Source organism: Homo sapiens, chromosome 3 (genome assembly GCF_000001405.40).
Source record: "Homo sapiens chromosome 3, GRCh38.p14 Primary Assembly".
Classification (NCBI taxonomy): Eukaryota; Metazoa; Chordata; class Mammalia; order Primates; family Hominidae; genus Homo; species Homo sapiens.
The window spans coordinates 69,476,290-69,499,097 of NC_000003.12; the positions used below are offsets into that span (position 1 = coordinate 69,476,290).

Genomic DNA, 22,808 nt, shown 5'->3' on the forward strand with positions numbered 1-22,808 from the left:
CTTAATGGTAATGCCTAGGTTTTCTTCTAGGGTTTTTATGGTTTTAGGTCTAACGTTTAAGTCTTTATTCCATCTTGAATTAATTTTTTTATAAGGTGTAAGCAAGGGATCCAGTTTCAGCTTTCTACATATGGCTAGCCAGTTTTCCCAGCACCATTTATTAAATAAGGAATCCTTTCCCCATTGCTTGTTTTTGTCAGGTTTGTCAAAGATCAGATAGTTGTAGATATGTGGCATTATTTCTGAGGGCTCTGTTCTGTTCCATTGATCTATATCTCTGTTTTGGTACCAGTACCCTGCTGTTTTGGTTACTCTAGCCTTGTAGTATAGTTTGAAGTCAGGTAGCGTGATGCCTCCAGCTGTGTTCTTTTGGCTTAGGATTGACTTGGCAATGAGGGCTCTTTTTTGGTTCCATATGAACTTTAAAGTAGTTTTTTCCAATTCTGTGAAGAAAGTCATTGGTAGCTTGATGGGGATGGCTTTGAATCTATAAATTACCTTGGGCAGTATGGCTATTTTCACGATATTGATTCTTCCTACCCATAAGCATGGAATGTTCTTCCATTTCTTTGTATCCTCTTTTATTTCACTGAGCAGTGGTTTGTAGTTCTCCTTGAAGAGGTCCTTCACATCCCTTGTAAGTTGGATTCCTAGATATTTTATTCTCTTTGAAGCAATTGTGAATGGGAGTTCACTCATGATTTGGCTCTCTGTTTGTCTGTTTTTGGTGTGTAAGAATGCTTGTGATTTTTGTACATTGATTTTGTATCCTGAGACTTTGCTGAGGTTGCTTACCAGCTTAAGGAGATTTTGGGCTGAGACGATGGGGTTTTCTAGATACACAATCATGTCATCTGCAAACAGGGACAATTTGACTTCCTCTTTTCCTAATTGAATACCCTTTATTTCCTTCTCCTGCCTGATTTCTCTGGCCAGAACTTCCAACACTATGTTGAATAGGAGTGGTGAGAGAGGGCATCCCTGTCTTGTGCCAGTTTTCAAAGGGAATGCTTCCAGTTTTTGCCCATTCAGTATGATATTGGCTGTGGGTTTGTCATAGATAGCTCTTATAATTTGAGATACGTCCCATCAATACCTAATTTACTGAGAGTTTTTAGCATGAAGGGTTGTTGAATTTTGTCAAAGGCCTTTTCTGCATCTATTGAGATAAGCATGTGGTTTTTGTCTTTGGTTCTGTTTATATGCTGGATTACGTTTATTGATTTGCATATATTGAACCAGCCTTGCATCCCAGGGATGAAGCCCACTTGATCATGGTGGATAAGCTTTTTGATGTGCTGCTAGATTTGGTTTGCCAGTATTTTATTGAGGATTTTTGCATCAATGTTCATCAAGGATATTGGTCTAAAATTCTCTTTTTTGGTTATGTCTCTGCCAGGCTTTGGTATCAGGATGATGCTGGCCTCATAAAATGAGTTAGGGAGGATTCCCTCTTTTTCTGTTGATTGGAATAGTTTCAGAAGGAATGGTACCAGTTCCTCCTTGTACCTCTGTTAGAATTCGGCTGTGAATCCCTCTGGTCCTGGACTCTTTTTGGTTGGTAAGCTATTGATTATTGCCACAATTTCAGAGCCTGTTATTGGTCTATTCAGAGATTCAACTTCTTCCTGGTTTAGTCTTGGGAGGGTGTATGTGTCCAGGAATTTATCCATTTCTTCTAGATTTTCTAGTTTATTTGCGTAGAGGTGTTTGTAGTATTCTCTGATGGTAGTTTGTATTTCTGAGGGATCAGTGGTGATATCCCCTTTATCATTTTTTATTGCATCTATTTGATTCTTCTCTCTTTTCTTCTTTATTAGTCTTGCTAGCAGTCTATCAATTCTGTTGATCCTTTCAAAAAACCAGCTCCTGGATTTATTGATTTTTTGAAGGGTTTTTTGTGTCTCTATTTCCTTCAGTTCTGCTCTGATTTTAGTTATTTCTTGCCTTCTGCTAGCTTTTGAATGTGTTTTCTCTTGCTTTTCTAGTTCTTTTAATTGTGATGTTAGAGTGTCAATTTTGGATCTTTCCTGCTTTCTCTTGTGGGCATTTAGTGCTATGAATTTCCCTCTACACACTGCTTTGAATGTGTCCCAGAGATTCTGGTATGTTGTGTCTTTGTTCTCATTGGTTTCAAATAACATCTTTATTTCTGCCTTCATTTCGTTAGGTACCCAGTAGTCATTCAGGAGCAGGTTGTTCAGTTTCCATGTAGTTGAGCGGTTTTGAGTGAGTTTCTTAATCCTGAGTTCTAGTTTGATTGCACTGTGGTCTGAGAGACAGTTTGTTATAATTTCTGTTCTTTCACATTTGCTGAGGAGAGCTTTACTTCCAACTATGTGGTCAATTTAGGAATAGGTGTGGTGTGGTGCTGAAAAAAGTGTATATTCTGTTGATTTGGGGTGGAGAGTTCGGTAGATGTCTATTAGGTCTGCTTGGTGCAGAGCTGAGTTCAATTCCTGGGTATCCTTGTTAACTTTCTGTCTCGTTGATCTGTCTAAAGTTGACAGTGGGGTGTTAAAGTCTCCCATTATTATTGTGTGGGAGTCTAAGTCTCTTTGTTGGTCACTCAGGACTTGCTTTATGAATCTGGGTGCTCCTGTATTGGGTGCATATATATTTAGGATAGTTAGCTCTTCTTGTTGAATTGATCCCTTTACCATTATGTAATGGCCTTCTTTGTCTCTTTTGATCTTTGTTGGTTTAAAGTCTGTTTTATCAGAGACTAGGATTGCAACCCCTGCCTTTTTTTTGTTTTCCATTTGCTTGGTAGATCTTCCTCCATCCTTTTATTTTGAGCCTATGTGTGTCTCTGCACATGAGATGGGTTTCCTGAATACAGCACACTGATGGGTCTTGACTCTTTATCCAATTTGCCAGTCTGGGTCTTTTAATTGGAGCATTTAGTCCATTTACATTTAAGGTTAATATTGTTATGTGTGAATTTGATCCTGTCATTATGATGTTAGCTGGTTATTTTGTTCGTTAGTTGATGCAGTTTCTTCCTAGCCTCGATGGTCTTTACAATTTGGCATGATTTTGCAGTGGCTGGTACCGGTTGTTCCTTTCCATGTTTAGTGTTTCCTTCAGGAGCTCTTTTAGGGCAGGCCTGGTGGTGACAAAATCTCTCAGCATTTGCTTGTCTGTAAAGGATTTTATTTCTCCTTCACTTATGAAGCTTAGTTTGGCTAGATATGAAATTCTGGGTTGAAAATTCTTTTCTTTAATAATGTTGAATATTGGCCCCCACTCTCTTCTGGCTTGTAGAGTTTCTGCCAAGAGATCCCCTATTAGTCTGATGGGCTTCCCTTTGTGGGTAACCCAACCTTTCTCTCTGGCTGCCCTTAACATTTTTTCCTTCATTTCAACTTTGGTGACTCTGACAATTATGTGTCTTGGAGTTGCTCTTCTCAAAGAGTATTTTTGTGGTGTTCTCTGTATTTCCTGAATCTGAATGTTGGCCTGCCTTGCTAGATTGGGGAAGTTCTCCTGGATAATATCTTGCAGATTGTTTTCCAACTTGGTTCCATTCACCCCGTTACTTTCAGGTACAGCAATCTGACGTAGATTTGGTCTTTTCACATAGTCCCATATTTCTTGGAGGCTTTGTTCGTTTCTTTTTATTCTTTTTTCTCTAAACTTCCCTTCTCGCTTCATTTCATTCATTTCATCTTCCATCACTGATACCCTTTCTTCCAGTTGATTGCATCTGCTCCTGAGGCTTCTGCATTCTTCAAGTAGTTCTCGAGCCTTGGCTTTCAGGTCCATCAGCTCCTTTAAGCACTTCTCTGTATTGGTTATTCTAGTTATACATTCGTCTAAATTTTTTTCAAAGTTTTTAACTTCTTTGCCTTTGGTTTGAATTTCCTCCTGTAGCTCGGAGTAGTTTGATCGTCTGAAGCCTTCTTCTCTCAACTTGTCAAAGTCATTCTCCATCCAGCTTTGTTCCATTGCTGGTGAGGAACTGCATTCCTTTGGAGGAGGAGAGGCGCTCTGCTTTTTAGAGTTTCCAGTTTTTCTGCTCTGTTTTTTCCCCATCTTTGTGGTTTTATCTACTTTTGGTCTTTGAAGATGGTGATGTTCAGATGGGTTTTTGGTGTGGATGTCCTTTCTGTTTGTTAGTTTTCCTTCTAACAGACAGGACCCTCAGCTGCCAGTCTGTTGGAGTTTGCCAGAGGTCCACTCCGGACGCTGTTTGCCTGGGTATCCGCAGTGGTGGCTGCAGAACAGCGGATTTTCGTGAACCGTGAAAGCTGCTGTCTGATCGTTCCTCTGGAAGTTTTGTCTCAGAGGAATACCCGGCCGTGTGAGGTGTCAGTCTGCCCCTACTGGGAGGCGCCTCCCAGTTAGGCTGCTCAGGGGTCAGGGGTCAGGGACCCACTTGAGGAGGCAGTCTGCCCGTTCTCAGATCTCCAGCTGCGTGCTGGGAGAACCACTGCTCTCTTCAAAGCTGTCAGACAGGGACATTTAAGTCTGCAGAGGTTACTGCTGTCTTTTTGTTTGTCTCTGCCCTGCCCCCAGAGGTGGAGCCTACAGAGGCAGGCAGACCTCCTTGAGCTGTGGTGGGCTCCACCCAGTTCGAGCTTCCTGGCTTATTTGTTTACCTAAGCAAGCCTGGGCAATGGCGGGCGCCCCTCCCCCAGCCTCTCTGCCGCCTTGCAGTTTGATCTCAGACTGCTGTGCTAGCAATCAGCGAGACTCCGTGGGCTTAGGACCCTCCGAGCCATGTGCGGGATATAATCTCCTGGTGCGCCGTTTTTTAAGCCCGTCGGAAAAGCCCAGTGTTAGGGTAGGAGTGACCTGATTTTCCAGGTGCTGTCTGTCACCCCTTTCTTTGACTAGGAAAGGGAACTCCCTGATCCCTTGCACTTCCCGAGTGAGGTAATGCCTCGCCCTGCTTCAGCTTGCGCACGGTGTGCTGCACCCACTGTCCTGCGCCCACTGTCTGGCACTCCCTAGTGAGATGAACCTGGTACCTCAGATGGAAATGCAGAAATCACCTGTCTTCTGTGTCGCTCACGCTGGGAGCTGTAGACCGGAGCTGTTCCTATTCGGCCATCTTGGCACACTCCTCTTATATTTTTTCTTTGCTCATGATAGTGTTGGTTACTGAATGAGACTCAATCATATAATGATCATTTGTTACCTATCAGGACTTTTTTGGTTATAGATGAATGAACCCCAGTATGAAAATCCCTCAGTAAAAAAGGGAAATTTAGAGAGGCTATTTTGATATTTCACGTAACAGTTAGGCAGTAAGAATGGCAGGGAGGAAGCAGGTCTTGGAAAGGAGGTACTCAGGGGCTCAAATGCAGCCAAGACACTTAACTCTTTCTGCCTGTCAACTTCAATTTCTGGCTCACTGACTTTTCCTATAAGGAGGAAAACTTGGCCATGGCAACTCTCAAGCTTCACCTTTCACAACTTCAGTCCCTGGAGAATGAAAATCTCAATCTTTAGGGCCCCACATTCAAGAATCTGATCCCAGAGAAGGGCTTCAGTTGACCTTGTTGGAGTCAGATACTCACCTCTGGATAAACTAGCAGTCAGCAGAAAAGAGGGTACTAGAGTATAAAACAGTGGCTCCTACAGCAACCAGCGAAATAAGGTTTAACAGAGCCATTCTCAAAAGAAGGAGACACAGGTAGAGCCAAGCAGAAAATCCCACAAATGTGGACTAGATCCTTTTTTTCTTTTTTAATGCAAGTTCCTTCTTTAAAATGATGCTAAAGCTGCAACTAATTGAATAAACAAAGCACACAAATTCTTTCAAAAGCTGAAATTCTGTTTGGGGACAAAAATCATCACCTGGGTTTCAGAAATCACTGAGCACACATTCATTAGCTTTGCTCATGCAAAAGTTTTCCTGCAGACCTGTAGTTCAATGCCCCAATCTAATTCCTTAGACTCTAGCTTTCTTTAAGGGGTAGGGAGTAGGGTGGGGGTAAAAGCTGTAGTGCAATAGAGTATTTAAAAAATAACCCTAAACAGGCATTGTTGCTGAGAGCTTCTCTGTGGCCCTAACTAAGAATATCACAGAACTTAGTAAACTAAGTTGGGAATTACGAGCCATGCCCTGGAGACCTCTGAAGTGTGTCTGCTCCCACACTTAATGATCAAAACCACACTCCCACAGGTGACTGTTTTGTGAAGATGTCTAACAAGAAGTGAGAAAGAGGAGAAAAAGGGAAAGGAGGAAGAAAAGAGAGAGGGGGAATGGGGAGAAAAATGAAGGAGACAGGAAAATGACAGCAGTCTGACCTGCGCAATGCTCTAACATCTTCCTTAAAAGAGCATGTTTCATGTGAACACTTCAACCAGTGGAGATTTTTCTAGAAGCTTACTGATGCCAATTTCCTTTTAACTGAAGAATCAAATCTTTCACCAACTGTTCCTAAAATATATTAGAGGGGGCAGGAAGTACATCTTTCGTCCAGGGACTGTCAAAAGTATGGGGCTTGTGCCACTGCCTGAAATGACCTCGGGTGACCCCCATAGGGGTGCCTAAATAACATCGCATCCCAGGGTAAACTGTTACTCTTTTTTGGTTTGCTTTTAACCACTTTGAATTAATATGTGACAGTGTTTTGCACTTTTACATATTTATTACTTCTCTAACACCAATTCTACCCCCTGTTGTACAGAAAGAGCAGACACTCGGCTAGGCAGGAGGACCTAGATAGAACTGAGTAACATTGGTGTGTTTCATTGCATTGAATATCCCAATAATGTTCAATTTTAGGCTAGGAATATCGGTCTTCCTTTGAGAGTAGGCATGTAAAGCTGCTTCCTAAAATTTTTTTTGTAGTTCAAAAAAGGCAGTAAATTGAAAGAAAAATATCAACAGTGGTGGTACCAGATGTTCCAAAAGTACTCTTAGTTACTAAGTATGTATGTTTCTAGGTCCATGGGTCAAAAGGAAGACTCCATGTTCCCAACCCATGTCAGTGTGAGAATAACAGTCAAATATTTTAGGTGAGAAGAGTGTCTGTGGCTTCTAAGGCCTTTGCCAGAGATTCTTGGATTTTAAAATAAATCTTAAGAGCTGCTTCTTTCCTTCAGTCCAAGATTGTATTTTCCCTTATGAAGTGCTTACACTGATGATAATAAAGATTATAATGATTTAGAATCCCATAGAGGTTTCCTCTGAAAATCTTTAGTTTAAGAAGATATTTTGGAGTCTGTGATAGAAAGTATGCCAAGGTTCAGGATTTGACTAATGAAAAGCTTAAAATGGATTGTAGAACTGCCTCACCTCATATTAATGATGAAACACTGGAAAATATGGGACCATATTGGGAAATGGTCACCAAAGGGACATTTCCCTACAATTCATGCTGGGAAACTTCATGAGGAGAAGACACAGAAAACCTGGAAACTGCTGGTGGAAAAATTGTTACGGATCTCTTCGCCAACTTCTAAAAATAAAAGGCAATAAATGTTAACCAACTGTGGACCCTTATAGTTATTTTTAAAATCAACAGAAATAAAATGGAAGACTTAATTTCCATTACGATGACCTTATCAAAAGCCCCAAATTATTTTATTTGAAAGAAAATGTCACTTAAAAATAAAAACCAGTCACATTCAACAAATAAATAATGAAACCAGAACCCTGCTCAGTGAGGTTTTTGTCGGTTCAGCTTGCCGATTTTGTTCTCCCTGAAATAAAATACATCTTAGCTTGCTTTCCCCTTTAAACAAAAAATCACAGCAACTGCATTTATTACATTCTCCTGAGTCTTTGGTCTTGCTTCTTTATTTGAATTTCTCTTCTTTTTTATGAACAGGTCTTTAAAAAATTACCTCAAAGCTTTTTGAGCAAGGCGTAGGATGTTTTGAGCAAGGGATGGGAGGTTAAAATAATCTTAGTGCATTTATTTAGTAGATTACAAATACAAGGAGTGAAGAGCAACAGAAGAATGATTTAACAGTTCAAGACAAAGAAGTGGTCATAAGCCTCTGTAAGATTGACTGCCCGGTCAGATTCCCACAGGGGCTGGATGGGGAAGGTGGAGGCCTGGTTACAAGACACAATGCATTCTAGAATTCTACCAGGTGCTATTATATATTTGTACCAGGTGCTATTGTTACAAGATCTTTGGGGTGTTGATTTTCTGGCCAGAAACCTCTGTGGCCTTTGCTCGAGTTCTTGTCCTGTGTCCAGGAAGACTGAGGTACACAGACAAAAGGAGGGTAAACAAGATGAAGAGGAGATTTATTAAGTGTTAGAATAGCTCAGAGGAGACCCGCAGTGATTAGCTCCTATCTGTAGGCAGGTCATCCCATCAAGTGTTCAGCTCTCAGCAGAGAGGAGTCCCTGGAGAGGGTTGCTACTTTCTACAGCTGGTGTTCCTGACTCTCTGCAGGTCCCTGAAGCTCTTAGCAGAGAGGATAGCTCCTCTCTGCTGCTGGTTGTCCAGTCATCTCCAGTTATCAGCAGAGAGGATAACTCCTCTCTGCAGCTGGTCCTCTCATCATCTCTCCATCCTCTCTGACCTCTGCCCTGCTCTGGCTGAACCTGAGGCTTTTATGGGCCTCAGAGGAGGGGAAGTATGTGCTAACTCGTCCATGGGCAGCCATGGGCAGGCCCAGGAAAAAGCACCATGAGTTCTCCCTCCAGTAGGCAGGGCTGACAGCTCAGTTCCCAGGCTTCAGGTCTGCCCCAGCCTGAAGGTGGGGCTTCTCTGGGCCCCCCCACCTTCTGCCCAGGAGGCTTTCTGCCTCCCGTGACCATCCATGGCACCCAGGCTGCTGGCACCAAGGTGCACCTGCAGGCCAGCTCCCAGCTGTCCTCAACCCCCCTCAACTTCCCCTCCCCTGCTCCTCTATTACCAAAGTCCTGAGGGGCCAGAGCAGCAGGGGGCTGGCATGTCAGCACTGCTCTGTGGGTGCACACACCCGGCTGGGCTGTGACAGTGGCTGGGCTTGGCCCCAACTCCACTCAGAGATTGGAGTGGGAGCCAGGAGTCGGGGGAGGCCAGGCAGCTGGAACAGGCACCGCAGAGCCTGCAAGGGCAAGTGGGGCCTTTGAGGCCCCCTAAGAGTGCAGGGATGCCTGGATCTACAGCCCCAGCTTGCACAGCTGGAGCTGCACCAGGGTGGGGGGCTCCTGCCTACTTTGTGAAGCAGGAGGCCCAGATCCGCACCCAGGACTTGGGTGGCTGCAGCCCTGCTCAGGAGAACAGCGTTCCTGCCTACTCTCAGCTCCCAGAAGCAAGGGGTGCCTGGGTTGCAGCCACAGCTTGGGCAGCTGCAGATGCAACTGGGGAGCTCCCACCCCACCAACTTGGAAGGGGTAGGGCTCCCGCTTGTCCCTGGTTCCCGCTGGCTCCATGGAGCATGGCACCTGGCCCAGCCCCCTCACAGCCTGGGGTTGGGGATCCAGGTCCTTGCTGGGCCTGGACCAGCATCCAGGGCAGGGGCAATGTTGCTGCAAGCTCCCCTTTGGCCCTGGTGCTTGGGGTGACCCAGAGCTCCCCTTCACCTGGTGCGACGCAGCCCAGCCCCATCATGGTGGCCCCCAAGGCAGTGGGCTGCAGGTGTGGGGCTGTCCACCTCCCTGTGCCCTCCCTGCAGTGGCCAGTGTGATGGCAGCAGCCACACCAGAAGGCCCATCGCTGCCATCACTATTATGTATTTAGCATCTCTGTAACACCAATACATGCAGATATATGTATTCTAGAATATTATAATTACAGATGATTCTAGATTGAGATACAATGCATTCTAGAATACAATGCATAGTGGTGGTGCACATACACATATATTGGCTACATGGGGCAGTTCAATAGAGCAATTGCATGTAGTTGCCATGTTGGGCATAAATAGCCTGGCTTTGAATTTTTCCCAAGTTGGCTGGAAGTCTGGTTATTGTTGTTTTTAATATGAAACATCAGGTTTCTAACTGTTGCCAACTAATTCAAAACATTTATTTTTATTATTTTCCGTAAGTTGTTGGGGTAAAGGTGGTTTTTGGTTACATGAGTAAGTTCTTTAGTGATCTGTGAGATTTTGGTGTATGCATCAACCGAGCAGTATACACCACACCATATTTGTGGTCTTTTATCCCTCGCCCCTCTCCCACTCCTCCCTGCAAGTCCCCAAAGTCCATCGTATCTTTCTTATGCCTTTGCGTCCTTATAGCTTAGCTCCCAAAGACATTTTTTATAAAACACTATATGGACAAAAGAAAACATATTTGTAAGTTAGATTTGGCCTGTGGATTGCTGGTTTGAATCTCTGCCAGGTAACTAAGCCATTAAGTGTTGGGAATTGAACCTATAACTTCACTCTGGAGTGAGCAGAAGGGGATTTACATTGAATCTTGGAAAGAAAAGGGGGGAAAATGTTTATAAGGAGAAGGGAGAGACAGTGGCAGACATACTACATGGGGAGGAAAGCATAAAAGAAGCCCCAAAGCAAGAAGGCTCAAGGCATGTTGAACAAACACTGAAGAGATTAGTTTGGTTAGAAGAGAAAACCCATACACTGATGTGAGGCAAAGTAGCAAATGTTAAGAAGCAATGTTTGCTCATTTCTGCTTGCCAGAATAATTTCACAAAGCCTCTGACTCTGTGAAGATATGCAACTCTCCAGAAAGATGCTTTGAAAAGACAAAACAGGATAAATAAAAGACAAAACATGCCCCTGCCCCCAAGGTCTCTTGTTTGAGTCACTATATTCCTTAAAAGATAAATTACCCTAGACCTTGCCTTTCTCTACACTTAAGATAACGTCTGACAGGGTCAGTGATTATGCCTCTGTAATCTATAACCAGATATACTCTTACACCCAAACCTTGATGTGATTTCTGAACAAATCTGATGTGATTTTGCATGTACTGAATCTCCACCACCTGTACTTGAGCACACTGGGCTGAAATACTGTGCTGGAGCAGTCTCATAGAACCTCTTTAAATGGCTGATCCCAGACTATAGGCCTGAGTCTATAGTCCCCAGTAAGGCTTCTGAATAAAACTAACTTTAAATCTTCAAAAGCTTTCTTTGTTCCTTTAGATGACACTGAGAAAGTTAGAGATAAGGCGTGTAAAGCAAATGAAGGATCAGATACATAAGGATCTTAAATATTAGCTAAGAAATTTGAATTTTATTTCATAGGCAAGGAAGATTTGGGGGTCTAGAGATTGGGTTTTCCAATAAAACTAACCCAGCCTATCTGGAAGAGAAAGAGACTACAGGAGAAGAGACTGGTCAGGAGACTCCACTATCTTAGGAGGACTGGTGGAGGCAGGAGGAATGGAAAGCTAGTGAATGAGACAGATCCATGGCAATGGATAAATCCACAGGACTCATAATCTGCTTCCTCTTAGAAGATGTCAAAGATCACTCTTCTGTTTGGGGCCTTTGGTATTTGCAGGCATCCTAGTGCAAATATCCAGGAAGACTTTTGGAACCTGAATTTAGGAGGCTGTCCAGGGATGCTGAGGCAGTTGGAGTGCTAGCCACATGAGGATGGCCCACAGATAAAGCTCAAGGGAGAGGATTCACGGAGAGAGGAAGCATGAACCTGGGAAGATGAATACCCAGTATCTATGTTTCTTACAGCTTACTTCAAAAACCTTGCTAAATTGAGAAATCACTACCCTTGAATTTGTGATTGATCTCAAATAAAAATGCATTCTATTTTATTTGTATTATTGTATGTATCACCTAATTTAAATGTGTCCATTGTAAAATTTCATCTCTTCAACCAGATTACGTTTTAAGAGGAAAAGGGAAAGAAAAAGAAAGAGAAAGAAAGAAAGAACAAAAGAAAGAAAGAAAAGAAAGAAAGAGAAAAAAAGAAAAAAGGAAGAAAAAAGAGAAAGAGAAAAAGAAAGAGAAAGGAGCTTTGGAGTAGATATTGCCTTGTAAGAGTGGTTAAAATGGAGCCCTGTTAAGGATCTGAGAATTGCCTGAAGGCTCTTTCCAGTCCTATAAGTAAACAACACTAGAGCTTTTGTCCAAAAATTCATTTTATAGCCAGAGAAATTGAAGGCCCTCCAATTCAAAATTCACCTGACAGCTATCAGCTGCTTTACCATGCAACCAGAGCTTGGCTCTGTGAAGGCTTCACATCATGTTAGAAAGATGGCACCAATTAAAAATGCACCCACCTCAGAATCCAGAGATAAACTCTAACTTCTATGGTCAACTGATTTTCTTCAAAGGTGCCAAGTCAATTCAATAGGGAAAGCATAGTCTTTTCAACAAATCATGCTGAGACAACTGGATAGCCACATGAAAAATAATAAAATGGGACCCCTACTTCATATCATATAGAAAATACAACTAAAGGCATAGACCTAGCTATAAAAGTTTAAGGTATAGGCCTGGCACGGTGGTTCACACTTGTAATCCCAGCACTTTGGGAGGCTAAGGCGGGTAGATTATGAGGTCAGGAGTTCGAGACCAGCCTGGCCAAAGCAGTGAAACCCCATCTCCACTAAAAATTAGCTGGGCATGGTGGCGGGTGCCTGTAATCCCAGCTACTCAGGAGGCTGAGGCAAGAGAATCACTCGAACCCAGAAGGCAGAGGTTGCAGTGAGCCGAGATCACACCACTGCACTCCAGCCTGGGTGACAGAGCGAGACTCCATCTAAAAAAAAAAAAAAAAAAAAAAAAAGTTTAAGATATAAAACTCTTCAAAGAAAAGACAGTAGTAAATATTTGTGACCTCGGGTTAGGCAACAATTCCTTAGATGTGACACCCAGCACAAGCAGTAAAAGAGAAGGGTGATACATTGGACATCATTGAAATTTTTTAAAATTTTGTGCTTCCAAGGACACTATCAAGAATGTGAAAAGACAATCCACTGTCTGGGAGAAATATTTGCAAATCATATATCTAAAAAGAAACTTATATCCAGAATATATAAAGAACTCTTATATCTTAATACGATGACAAATCAATCTAAAAATGGGTAAAAAATATGATAGACATTTCTCCAAAGAAAATATATAAATGAGATATATGTATATAAAATGTATACATATATAAATGAGATATATGTATATAAAATGTATACATATATAAATGAGATATATGTATATAAAATGTATACATATATAAATGAGATATATGTATATAAAATGTATACATATATAAATGAGCCAATCTAAAAATGGGCAAAGGATTTGAATAGGCATTTCTCCAAAGAAAATATATAAATGAGTAGTAGGTACATGAAAAGATGCTCAGTCTCATTATTCATTAGGGAAATGCAAATCAAAACCAGAGTGAGTTGCTACTTTATACCCACTAGAATGGCTATAATAAAAAAGACAGATAATAAATGTTGGCAAAGAGGTGGAAAGAAACAAGAACCTTCACACACTGCTGGTGTATATGTAAAATGGTGCAGCCACTTTGGAAAAGTCTAGCAGTTCCTCAAAAAATAAACATAGTGTTGCCATATAGCCCAGAATTCTATTCCTAGGTATCCACTGGAGAGAAATAAAAATATGTCCATCCCAAGATATGCACACAGATGTTCACAGAAGCATTTTTCACAAGAGCCAAAAAATGAGAACAAGCCTAATATTCATCAACTGATGAATGGGTAAATAAAATGTGATTTATCCACACAATAGAATACTATTCAGTAATGAAAAGTAATAAAATACTGATAGAGCTACAACAGGGTTGAACCTCAAACACATTATTATGAGCCAGTCAGAAAAACCACAATCTTATGATCCCACATATATGAAATGTCCAGAATAGGCAATCCAGGGAGATAGAACGTGGACGAATGGCTGTCTAGGGCTGGGGTAGCTGGGAGGATGGGAAGTAACTGCCAATGGGTATGGGGTTTCTTTTTGGGATGATGAAAATATTCCAAAGTAAGATTATGGTGCTGGTTGCCCTAATATGATTACACTAAAAGCCACTGAATTGTGTATTTTAAACATGAACAAACATTTTAAATGAGATGATGGTTTATAAATTATATCCCAATGAAAGCTTAAAAAGTTTCATCTATCATGTGCTACATGAAGTTTTCAGCACTAGCCAGAAAGGGTCTCTTAATCTTGTTAGTCTCTTTTCTTTAAGATCTTTGCATCAGTTCTTCTTTTTGTCATGAATGCCTTGATTCTTTCTACCACAAACTTGCTTCTCTTATCTTCCAAAACAGCTTCAAGTTCCTGTCTCTCAAACATGCCAGGCTTGTTCCTATTGCAGGCGTTTGCAATGGTGCTTCCTTCTACTTGAAACCTCTCTCCCTTGCCTCTGCAGGACTGCCTCCTTCTCACCACTGAGGTTCAACTCAAAAGAGAGGTCTTAGACTTCCATAGCTTCAGCAGCCCACAGTCACCACCTACCTCTCACTGTATTTGTGTCATGGCAAGTACCTAACAGTAGCTTCTGTCTTGGTTTCCATATTCCCATTTGTATTTGTTTGCTTGCTTGCTAAAGGATTTACTGTGTATCTTCCTCACTAGATCATATGTTCCCTGAGGACGGGAGCTCTGTCACAGCTGTCCCCACCACACCAGGCCTATAATAAGAGACGTTGGCCGATGCCTTTAGGGTGAATGAAGCACACGATAAGGTTGCTTGCTTCTGCCCTAGTAATAGGATGAAAAAGAATGAAGCCTTTTCCCTCTCCAAAACCCCACCCTCATTCATCCCCACCTCCTCCAAGAAGGAGCCAGAATTTCCTTAACAACAATTTTTTGATGCTAAAAACCTCTCCCCGAGAGACTGATTCCAGAAAAATAAATTTCTCTTCACCTAAAGGTGCAGCACCAGCTCAATGAAAATTGTTTCAGTAAAACTAGTCTCAGGAAAGATCAATAGGAGGAAAGAGAGAAAAGCAACAAAGACTAACTTGCACTTCCAATGCAAGGAAAATCAAAGCGGAGTCTGTCCCAGGGGAGTTCAAACAATAGAAACAATAGGTCGAGAAGCCATGCAGCGATTACTCAGACAAAATGAAGATCACTCCAGGAAAATGAAGAAGAGAATGAAGCATAGCTTATTGTGGAGTTTGTCCTGAAATTTATAGCTGACTCTATGAGAAGAACTGCAAAGCATCTAGCCCTTCAGCATTGAAAGACGGAAGGAAGGAAGAGAAAGGAAAAAAGAAAGAAAAAGATAAGATGAGAAGAAAATGTTTTAAAATAAAAAAGCAAAACCATTTCCTCACCTAATCTTCTTCTGGATAAAAGAGCTAGTGAGAGAATCAACACAAAGAAAATGACACCTATTTGCAATTAAAGAAAACTTTACATAAAAGCACATATTTTATTCTATTTCCTGAACTTCTCTTCTGCAAAAAGAACAAAAAGAGAGAAAAAGAAGAAAAGAGACAGGGTTAAAGTTACAAATACAAAACCAATCAAATGATGCTGGCTTCCTTTTTAACCTAAGCACCACACAGTCAATCAATAAAATGTCAAAAGGCTTTCACAATTTACCTGTTACACCATGAGAGACATCACATCCAAATAACTTGCTGATATGCAAGCCTCCAGCTAGATTCACAAGAGGAATGAAGACCAAGTTCAGACACAGCAAAGCAACTCACACCACTGCAACCATGTCTCCAGGTATGAACATTTGAAGACCAGTAGTAACATATCTCAAAGACCACTAAATTATTTAGGACCATCATTCAGGAAGTGTTGTCATGCTCAAACAACCGGAGATCAGAGATTATACCTAAGCCTCCTCTTCCCCCTCCTCCGCCGTACCCCCGCAAGTACCAAGACAGTCGGCCAAGAGCAAGTTTAGTATCAGCTTATCATAGGCTCTAGTCTTAGCCTTGCAATTACATCCTGCCCTGGCAGGAAGCTGAACCTGGCAATCAAGATTCCCTCTCATCTCTGTTTTCTATATCTTGCATGCTTGGGGAGGCGGCAGAGCATGTGGTATGACCACATGCAGAGTGAAAGTTTGCAAGACCTGCATTTGAATCCTGATTTTGGCACTTCTCCCATGTGAGCTTGGCAGCTCACTTCACCTCTGAGGGCCTGTTTCTCACTGGTGAACAAGGGCCAGCGATCCCTCTTTAAAGGGTTATGAACATCTAATAATTCCTGGCAGCCAGTAGCTTGCTCAATAAGTGTTAGTCCCCTTTACACAGTAAAATTATTAGCTAAACAGAAAACCAGCATTCTAACCTGAGCAGGTCTCTTTGATTTGAGAAAAAATACATGCTTTAGTTTACATCATCTGATTGTATTTTGTGGATCATTACAGACTGTTTGTAAATCCTTCTGGAAGAAGGCATGAGATATATCTGATACAAATATACATTCTTGGAGGAATTGAGGGACCTTGCTATGTGCATAAATTCATAGCCTGCCCTTCTGCGACCCTGGAAGAAACCATTTTGTCAGGGAACCACTTATCCCTAATTTACCTGATTTGTAATTTCAGAGTTTCATAAAGTGAAGGCACAACTATAATTACCCTTAGTGCTCCATTTAGGCGGTCATGATTTTTGACAAACTCTAATGCTTGGCAACCTAACCTTCTAGCATGTCTGGAATGTCTTGTATGTCTGCTTAGTTATTTGCAAGCTTTCTAAATAGACCTCTACCACTTCATGGCTGGTAAACGTTTCCAGTTACATTTTAGTCCTCTTGTTGGTCTTCTAAGCATGACATATACTCTATATTTTATGTATGAGTGTTTCAAAGATGAGGGATAATTCTCAGCAACCATCTCTGTATCTTCAGTCTCAGGTGCTCCATTAGGATTCTTAAGAGACTGGATGAAGTCATTATCAAAGCAAGAGCTGTTACTTGAAGAACTGGCAAACTTAAATATTATCTTACAAGCAGCCAACAATGCACATTCCTTTATACACAATCAAAAGCACAAACTCACACTCACATGCATGACTTTTAGCTTAATTTCCAGTTTAACATTTAGAAAAAGGGAACTATTGGCCAAATAAACTTGTCAATTTATCAAATTAAGAGGGGAGAGTAGAGTACAGTGTAAGGTCTAATCTTACTGCCTCAAGTATTTGAAAGGTTGAGTCAAGACTTACAAACTCAAAATGCTGCTAAGAGCCAATAAGGCAGATAACGTAAGTGTATAATCAAGGCCACGTGGGAGCAATAGGGAGTGGTGGGGCTTACGGCAAACTGGAAAACCATCTCCTGCCTTAATCATTTAAAAAAATATATTTTGCTAGCCAAACAAAACACACTGTGAGCTGCATTTAGACCAGGTCTGGCTGCTATTTGAAAATTCCTAGTTCCTGGAATGGAAGGTTAGGTACAAAGTAAGGAAACATTTTAAGGTCCCAGAAGTTTGACCACTGTATCCAAGTAGATCTCTCTGGTTCTCTACACCAGCACTCCATTTATTCGCCCTCCTAGCATTTACAGCCTCTGTAATGAATTGGCCTCTTGATTTGCTTACTTCTTTAGAATTCTCTCTCTCTCTCTCCATCTCTCTCTCGATTATAAGCTTCACGAAGGCAGGGGCTGTGTTTACCTTGCTTACGGTTATCATCAGCACTAGCCAGGGTGAGGGACATAATTGGTTCTCATAAAAACTGCTGAATGGATCAAGGAAGGAGTATGATACGTTTTGTCATCCTATGACATATCTTGTTCATCTTGGGACCCCAAGCATATAGTAGTACAATAGTAATGATAAGTACTGGGGTGCAGTAGTGGGGTGCAATCATAGCTTGCTACAGCCTCAAACTCTTGGCCTCAAGCCATCCTCTCACCTCAGCCTCTGGAGTACCTGGGACTACAGGTGTAAGCCACTGTACTCAGTTAATTTTTTAAAAGAAATTTGTAGAGACAGGGTCTTGATATGTTGCCCAGGCTGGTCTCGAACTCTCGGCATCAAGTGGTTCTCCCACCTTGGCCTCCCTAAGCACTGGGATTATAGGCATGAGCCACAGCACCCAACCATGATAGTATTTCTTGAATGAAATTATTGGTGATCATGTTCCACCACGAATGGTTAACCACAGGGAGGTGGTGTATACTGGGTGGGTCCAGGGTCTAGAAATAGATGTGGTCACTAGGCTGAGGAGATGATTGGGCACGAGATCCAGCTCTGCAAGGAAATTCAGTAAGACAGAAAATAGCAAGTTTTATGAATACTAATAAAGCATGACTAGTAATCTAAGCAAGTTGCTGGCATCAGGGATGTCTGCTGATGGCTAAAAATAGAGAATCCAGAAAGGGTCAGTGTTCCCAGATAAACGTATGTGGTCTGCCTCAAGTAAGCAACTGATAATAGAACTACAATCATGAAAGCCAAAGGCTGAGTTCACACATGTGGGAAGAGGGGTGGTAGTCAAAGTCACAACAGAGAATAGGCACTAAGAAACAATCAGCTGGGTGCGGTGGCTCATACATGTAATCCCAGCACTTTGGGAGGCCAAGGTGGGTGGATCACCTGAGGTCAGGGGTTTGAGACCAGCCTGACCAACATGGTGAAACCCTGTCTCTACTAAAAATACAAAAGTTAGCTGGGCATGGTGGCGGGCACCTGTGATCCCAGCTACTTGGGAGGCTGAGGCAGGAGAATTGCTTGAACCCGGGAGGCAGAGGTTGCAGTGATCCAAGATCACGCCACTGCACTCCAGCATGGGCAACAAGAGTGAAACTCCGTCCAAAAAAAGAAAGGAAAGGAAAGGAAAGGAAGGGAAGGGAGGGGAGAGGAGGGGAAGAGAGGGGAGTGGAGGGGAAGGAAAGGAAGGAGAGGGGAAGGAAAGGGAGGGAAAGGGAGGGAAAGGTAAGGAAAACAATCTAGGCACCCAAAATGTGTTTAGCATTCTAAAATTCCAGAAGTGGTTGCAAGGTATAGACTTGGTCGCAGCATCCAGGATGAAGCTCAAGTCAGGCCCATAGTGTTGGTTGGTGTTAAGTTCCCTAATAAACTACAACCCCACTAAGGACACACTGAATGCCAATTCCTGAGGGAATACACTCCTCTTTACTGTAGAGACAAGAACTCCCAATCCTGCCTTTTGTCTTGAATGACTGTGATACTAGACTGTTTCATTTCCAGAACAGAAGAACCTGTGTGAGTTACTGCTATTACTTACATTAGCAATCAGGACTTTCTCTATGAAGAACAGAAAGATAATCCAAACCCCCTTTAGAAAGAAAGAGCAATCTGTTGGCTGCACAAATACACCATGGGAAGGCAGGAGGAGAGTTGGTCTTGGAGCTTATGCTCTCTCTCTGCCCCTGGGCTGTGTCACTCTCTATCGTTGGCTTCACTTTCTTCTGAAAGAGATGGGCTTTTCCTATGCAGAATCAATGTAGCTTGGTAGACAAGAGCACGAATTTGGGTCATCCGACAGGCTGGGTTTGAATCCCACCTCTGCCCCTTGAACTTAGTTGAATTATTCATCTGTAAAATGGGCATAATTAATGGCACCTCACTCTTAGGTTGAGTGAGTAAGGATTAAGTGAGTAAATATATGTAAATATTATTACAGCAGCTAGTGTTACTTTCAGTAACACAAGAAGAAAGAGATGCTAAAGGGACTGTGATGATTTCAACTATGAAATGGACATACAATATATTTTATTGTTGTTTGACTACGTTGAAATATATATTTAAATTGAGGGCCATCATTTTATCTAAAATTTACTAGTAATTCACTAAACAGATTTCCCTAATTAAAACCACTCAAACCAGTATGCAGTGATTTTATGGCACAAGAATAGACTATGAGTATATGGTTTGCAGCCTGGACAAAAACCTTTTTGGGTCTGACCTGAATAAGTAGGTTAGTTTATATTTCAAATATTTTTATTTATACTATTTCCTCTGTTTTACTCAGTAAACATTAAGTTAATCTTCCGTATCATCTAATTAACCATTATTTGTAATGAAGACAAATTAAATTTGTAAAATAGGAGTAGAAAAATGGTTACAGATGGTGGCTTTAGTAAGTATTGTAAAAATGCCAGACGCTCAAATCTGTCTGACTATTTATGCAAGTTATTGTGAATGCTTTGAAATTTGTTAATACTGCACTCTTTAGAGGTTTTGTTATTTCAGGAATTTTAGAGAAAGAGTCAATACTCTTAGTGTTTGGGTTCAGGAGGACCCACTTTCTGCTCCAGGAATGACCCAGGACTGGCCAATCAAAACACTGAACCCTCTGGCCATATTGATTGATTTAAAGATGGGCGAGTGACCCAAGTTCATCCAATTAGGGTCAGTCTTGGGACTTGTGCAGAATCTGTCAGCAGACACATGCTCTTTTTTGTTGGTTTAGACGTACAAGACTATAAGCCATAAGCTGTGGACAATCATCTTTCTTAAGAATGAAGCCAGCATAAAGAAGAGTACAGGTGAAAGATGAAAGAGAGAGAGTGAGAGAGAGAGAGAGAGAGAGAGAAAGAGAGAGAGAGAGAGAGAGAGAGAGAGAGAGAGAGAGAGACAGGGAGATTAGGTCCTGATAGATCCTGATGACATCATGAGTGTCCAGGCCAAGTCATACTTAAAGCTTCATTAACTCAAGCCAATAAAGTCCACCTTTTTGCTTAAGTCGCTATGGGCTATTTGTCACTTTCAATTAATTAATACTTTCAATTAATATAGGTGAGATATGTTGATTGTATCTGACCCCCAAGAGTTACATCTCTATTTGCTATGGTAGTTTTTTTTTTATTATTATCAATTGTTTGCTCTTCTCCCAATAACAGCTTGCTTCCCCATCCATTGCTATGTGACTGGCATTGCCTACGCCGAGGAAGGAGAATACCTCTCGAACCCACTGATGTAAACTCTGACCATGTGACTTGTTTTGGTCAATAGGCTGTGGAAAGCAATGACATATGCTGTATCCAAGCAGAAGCTTTAAGGGCTATCACAAGGTCCTGTCATACTTCCTTTTTTGTTTTCTGCCAAGTAGCTATCCCATCTTAGAATGAATCCCAGAATGGAGAAAATATTTGGAGCAGAGCCTCAGCTGACCTACAGCTAATGAGTACCATGAACAAGATATAAATTTATTTTGTTATAAACTACTGATATTTGGGGGTAGTTGTTACTGAAGCATAACCTAGTAAAAGCTGACTAATATACTTGTTATCTTTGTAATGCTTGTCAAAGTTCATAACTGAGTATAAATCTAGAGCACCTATCATGGTGTTTATAATTTATATCCTGAAAGTTACCACAAAAGAATTTCGGACGACTGATTGCTTCTCATTGTTTTAGTATTCGTGGCCCAGTTATATGCAGTGGTGGTCAAAAATGTGGGCTTTGTCTTTGTGGTTTAATGACTGGTAAGTTACCTGAACTTACGAGTCTCAATATCCTCCTTATAATAAAAATAATAATAGTAATAATAATAATGTCTTCCCCATGGGATTTTTGTGTATACAGAGTGAAACACAGTGCAGGGGACATGGTAAAACACTTAGGAAACAGCAACTATAATTTTTACCATTACAGAAGAAAGTGCCCTCATGGAACTTTTTTTAAGACATGGAGTCTTGCTATGGTGCCCAGGCTGGAGTGCAATGGTTCTTCACAGGTACAATCATGGTGCACTGCAGTCTCAAACTCCTGAGCTCAAGTGATCCTTCCACCTCAGCCTCCTGAGTATCTGGGACTACAGGCACATGCCACCATGTCTGGCTGAACTCTTTTTGATGTTTCCAGAAACAATCCCCCAATGGGTGGTAGAGTCCAAGGTGAGCCTAGCTAACACTAAGCACCATTCCCTAAGAAATAGCATTCTGGGGAGGCTGTTAAGACATTACTTTTTAAATTGCACGTATACCATCCAAGGAAGAGTGGCTGGGGAGAATGCTGCCGAGGAAGCTGGATGGGAGCTGAGGGAATATATTGAGAAGTGGGATAGCCATTTTTCCTCTGAATTTCTTTGCATTCTAAAGCTCAATGAAAAGAGAACAATGCCTCCAGAGTTGGACCTCAAGTGAGAACTGAGGAGGACACCAGAATCAAGCTGGTGCTGTTGAACATTCATCTTCATTTATGAGTAGCATTTGGACAATTTGTTTTGCTAATGGGCGAAGTTTACATTGATTGAACTTATCATTTAATATTTTTGGAAAAGGCAATAAGGGGATTTTATGACAAGAATATTTGTTAGGGCAATTATCTCCTGAATAACAAAGAGTATGCCTTTTGAATGATTTGAATGGATTGAAGCCTGCACGTGTGTGTGCATGAGAGAGAGAGAGAGACAGAAAGAGAAATCTCAAAGGATAAGAATATGAGAATAGTTGTGCAAATATAGCATGCTCTTCAAGGTATTGAGCTTAGAAGTATTTTCTGGGAATTGTTGATAGTTTCAGTCTTCCTCTTTTCAACAAGGATTCATCTTTCTCTGTTCAGGTACTGTGCTATATGAATATACCCATATAACTTTCATAGCTTAGAACTCTACAACATATAACTGTTAAGAGTTATAAGAGTAAATAAACACTTAGCAGACACTTATTAGTATCTCTTATAGAGGAGAAAACTGAGGCTTACAAGTATTCACTGATTTGCAGACGGGCTCACAGGCACTCATTATTATTCAAAGCTTATATTTATACCCAGGACTTATTCCTTCAATGAGTATTTATCGAATATCTACTGTACACCAGGAATATTTCCAACTTAATAATATCATCTAATAAATTTCCTACTGTCATGAAGCTTATGTTCTATTTGGGAAGATAACTAAGCAAAAAACAATATAATTTAATATCATGAAAAATAAAACAGGACAGTGTGATATAAGATGATAGTGGCACATTAGAAAGGATACTTGTTAATAAAAGTCCTTTGTAAAACAAAGACACTGAGCTGAGACAGAATTGATAGGAAGCATTCCAGAT

The 22,808-nt window shown here is 41.4% G+C and overlaps 1 protein-coding gene across 5 annotated transcripts in view, besides 1 other annotated feature; it reads right to left on the bottom strand.

Moving 5' to 3' along the window:
- Window positions 1–22,808, bottom strand: part of FRMD4B (FERM domain containing 4B) — a 373,805-nt gene that overhangs the window by 307,508 nt on the left and 43,489 nt on the right. The window lies entirely within an intron of this gene.
- Window positions 9,025–9,697: an enhancer, noted in NCBI's record as "H3K27ac-H3K4me1 hESC enhancer chr3:69534465-69535137 (GRCh37/hg19 assembly coordinates)". NCBI's record gives its function as "activates a minimal SCP1, AML or CMV promoter by ChIP-STARR-seq in naive H9 embryonic stem cells {active_cell/tissue: H9 hESC(naive)}" and the evidence as "EXISTENCE:reporter gene assay evidence [ECO:0000049][PMID:30033119]".